The sequence below is a fragment of the Homo sapiens genome, chromosome 12, assembly GCF_000001405.40.
Source record: "Homo sapiens chromosome 12, GRCh38.p14 Primary Assembly".
Taxonomy (NCBI): Eukaryota; Metazoa; Chordata; class Mammalia; order Primates; family Hominidae; genus Homo; species Homo sapiens.
The window spans coordinates 77,323,309-77,326,399 of NC_000012.12; the positions used below are offsets into that span (position 1 = coordinate 77,323,309).

The 3,091-nt window shown below is 50.7% G+C and overlaps 1 annotated feature.

Annotated features, from left to right (window-relative positions):
* Positions 1,658 to 1,717: a silencer, noted in NCBI's record as "silent region_4678". NCBI's record gives its function as "represses an Ori minimal core promoter by ATAC-STARR-seq in GM12878 lymphoblastoid cells {active_cell/tissue: GM12878}" and the evidence as "EXISTENCE:reporter gene assay evidence [ECO:0000049][PMID:35858748]".

The following is a 3,091-nucleotide window of genomic DNA, read 5'->3' on the forward strand; positions in this document are numbered from 1 at the left end:
AGCCTCTTGGTCTTGGACTTCTCAGCCTCCACAATTGTGAGAAATAAGTTTCTGTTGTTTATAAGTTAACCAGTCTCAGGTATTTTGTAATGGCAGCACAAAGGGGCTAAGAAACTGTTCTATGCCCTAACAAGAAATGTGGTCACTTTCCTGAAGGAAATGGGGATATATATAAAGATGTTATATAAGACTCGTAATATTTATTTGGAAGGCTTGCTCTGCAAGCAAGGTGGAAGAGCAACATGAAGGAAGCGTGGTGGAGGTGAGAGGACTGGAGGTTAAGTTGGTAGGGAGATACAGGAAAGAAGCTTATGACACTTGAGTTAAAATGTAGCATCCTTCCTATGTGTAGGGCTCATAAAAATGTATAGTCTAAGATAGAACACAGAATACTCTATGAATCCTGCCCACAAGGTGTTGGTAATCTAGATTCACTTTTTTTTTCTGATAATGCCATCCATATGTATGGAGCGTCTACTACTGTATGCCAGAGTGACTCTGGAATCGGTTTGGTTGATCTAGACAAGACCATAAGGAGAGTCCCCTTACTACCTCTTCTCCAGGGGAGGGATTCAAGTTGAACTAGTACTTCAGAGACTGTTTAGTAATATCATGCATGAAAGGTGATGGTTAGGACAGAAAAATAAATGGATTGCATCATAATTCCTCAGGTTCTCCAAATATGTGGTGGTCTCAAACCATGTGAATTGGTCTGCACATCCTGTTTGGGTTGCGTGTCAGCAGTTGAGATCTGAGCCTTATTTGTAACAGTGAAACAGTGAGAGACCTGCCCACTGAAAGCTGTTTTTCAGCTAGGAATAGAAAAGGGCCAGGCTAGACTCCTCTTTCTGCTGGATCTTGCTTCTTCTCAGCAATAGAAGTAGACCTGCCTTCCTAGCTGTAGAGAAAAGGTGCCGGTAGGCGGGCAGGTGAGCCTGTGGATAATCCTGGAGTAAAGGTTCAATAGACCTTCAAGTCTATCCTACAGGATTCGGAGTGAGGGGAGAGAAAAGGAGACGCTTCTCTGGCTGAGAGAGGAAGAGAAAAAAAAATCCCAGATATCTGACAGCTATATCTTCCCATCACCACCTTCCTCTAAACCCATGCCTCTCTGTTTAGTAGGACATAAAATGAAGAGTGACCCACCCCCCACCCCCAGCCCATCCCCCGTTTGTAGGTGTGCTTTCAATGAAAATAAGTCGGTGTTCATGGACGGAAACTAGAGCAGCTGAAAATAGATGCAAGACTTGTTGAGCATACAAATCATTTCCCCCTTAGTCTCCAAGGGAGGAAAAAAAATCCCTCTTACTCTCCTTGCAGCCTGTGTTCTGCATTCTGGAGAGGAAGCTGAGGCTGGTCCTCAGGCGCTCCTCCCGCCGTTCCCGCAGGAAACTTTTCTCGCAGGGCCCGCTCCGTCCATCCCGCGCGGTTCCAAGACGGTGGGCCTCCCGTGGGCTCCTCTCCTGGGCAAGGGCCCAGACCCCGCGACGCGCCTGTCTCTTTAAATTCCAGCTGCGCGGCTGGGAAACAGCGCCACTCGCCGCCCAGGCCGGCTGGAGGCTGAGAGCGAGCTCGCGCTTTCGCTCCCGGCTGCGCGCCGCGGAGAGCTGGGCTCGGCCCGCGGGCTGCTAGGTGGCGGCGGCGCGGGGCGGGGAGGCGCGGCCCGGCGGAGGAGGGAAGAAAGAGCGAGCCGGGCCGGGAGAGGCGCCGCGCCCGGTCCCGCGCCCGGTCCCGCACCCGCTCTCAGCGGCCCAAGCAGTTTCTTTCTGGGTGACAAGAATGTGCCTCGGTTGGTTTTTCTTTTTTTTCTCCATCTCCTTAAGACGATTTCCATAGTAACCTGATCAAGTGGCTCAAAATCGCAAACCTGAGGATTTCCGCGGCCCGCCGGCAAGACCTCGGCCAGGTAACGCTGCGATCTCCTCCTCTTCCATTGCAAACCGCTGCGCTCCTTGCAAAGTTCCTTTTGTGGAAAATCGCCCAGCCCAAGGGAGCCCGGGGTATTTGCAACAGCGTGTTCATTTCCAGGTGCCTGTCACGGGTCTCCTCCCTGCTGCTTCTCCAGGACCCATGATGAGATTATTTTTAAAAATTGTTTTTGGTCGTCTCCCCCGCCCCCTCCCCTTCTTTATTTTTTTCCTCTTCGCTGCACTCTTCTCGGCTTTTCCCCTGACACTACTGATGGGGGTGCGGGGGGACGTCGGGGATGGGGGTGGCCAGCGCGGTCCTGGGAGTGGCGGGTTCGGATGGGCTGGCTGCGGTGGGCCACTTTGGGCATCTCGGCGTGGCCTGCGCCGGGGTCACGGGGAGGGCTGTCAGCGCCAGGGCGGCGGAACCCGAGGTCTCCAGACGAGTGAGGGAGGGATGCAGGCTTGGGGGTGATGGAGCGCTTGGCTGGTGGCTGGTGAGCGTCCATACATCATAGCTCTCCTTCCCACTCCCCCGCCCCTCTTCGGGATTCTCTCTTTCTCTTTCCCCGTCCTCATTTCTTTCTTCCTTTACTCACCACTCGCTTCATTCTCTTCCTTCCATTTCCTCTTTTTTTCTCCCCTCATTTCCTTTTTTTCCTTTCCCTTTTAAAGAAAGGGGAATCGTTTGTAACCCTTTCGTTCTACCAACGTGGAATAGCTGTGAAACCTGCAGCGTGGTCACCTCAGCCTGGTCGTTTTCAGACCCGTCCTCATCCATCAACATATTTGTTTCCCGAGTCTATTGATCTCCCTGAATTCTACAGAAATGCATTCTAAGCTAGGCGCCTGTATGTCAGAATCAGTTCTGCAGGTAGCTTCCGTGCTCCAAGTATGACATGTATTGTAAGGGCTGCATCTGTTTTAAACCCACATAAGCCATGGGTATAAATAAATGTAGCTTTGAAAAAAAATCTGGCCTTATTCTAGATAAACTTCCCTCTTAAATTACTGATATACTCTTCTCCCTCTTTGACATTTAATTTTAGGAAAGTTGGGAGACAGGTTCTTGTCCTCCAGTTTTTAAGGAGCAGGCAACTTCTATTATCTTAATTTTCTCGTCTTTGAACATCACTCACGTTTGCACTACCCAGTCAGTGGAACGAGTGGGTCATAATTAAGGT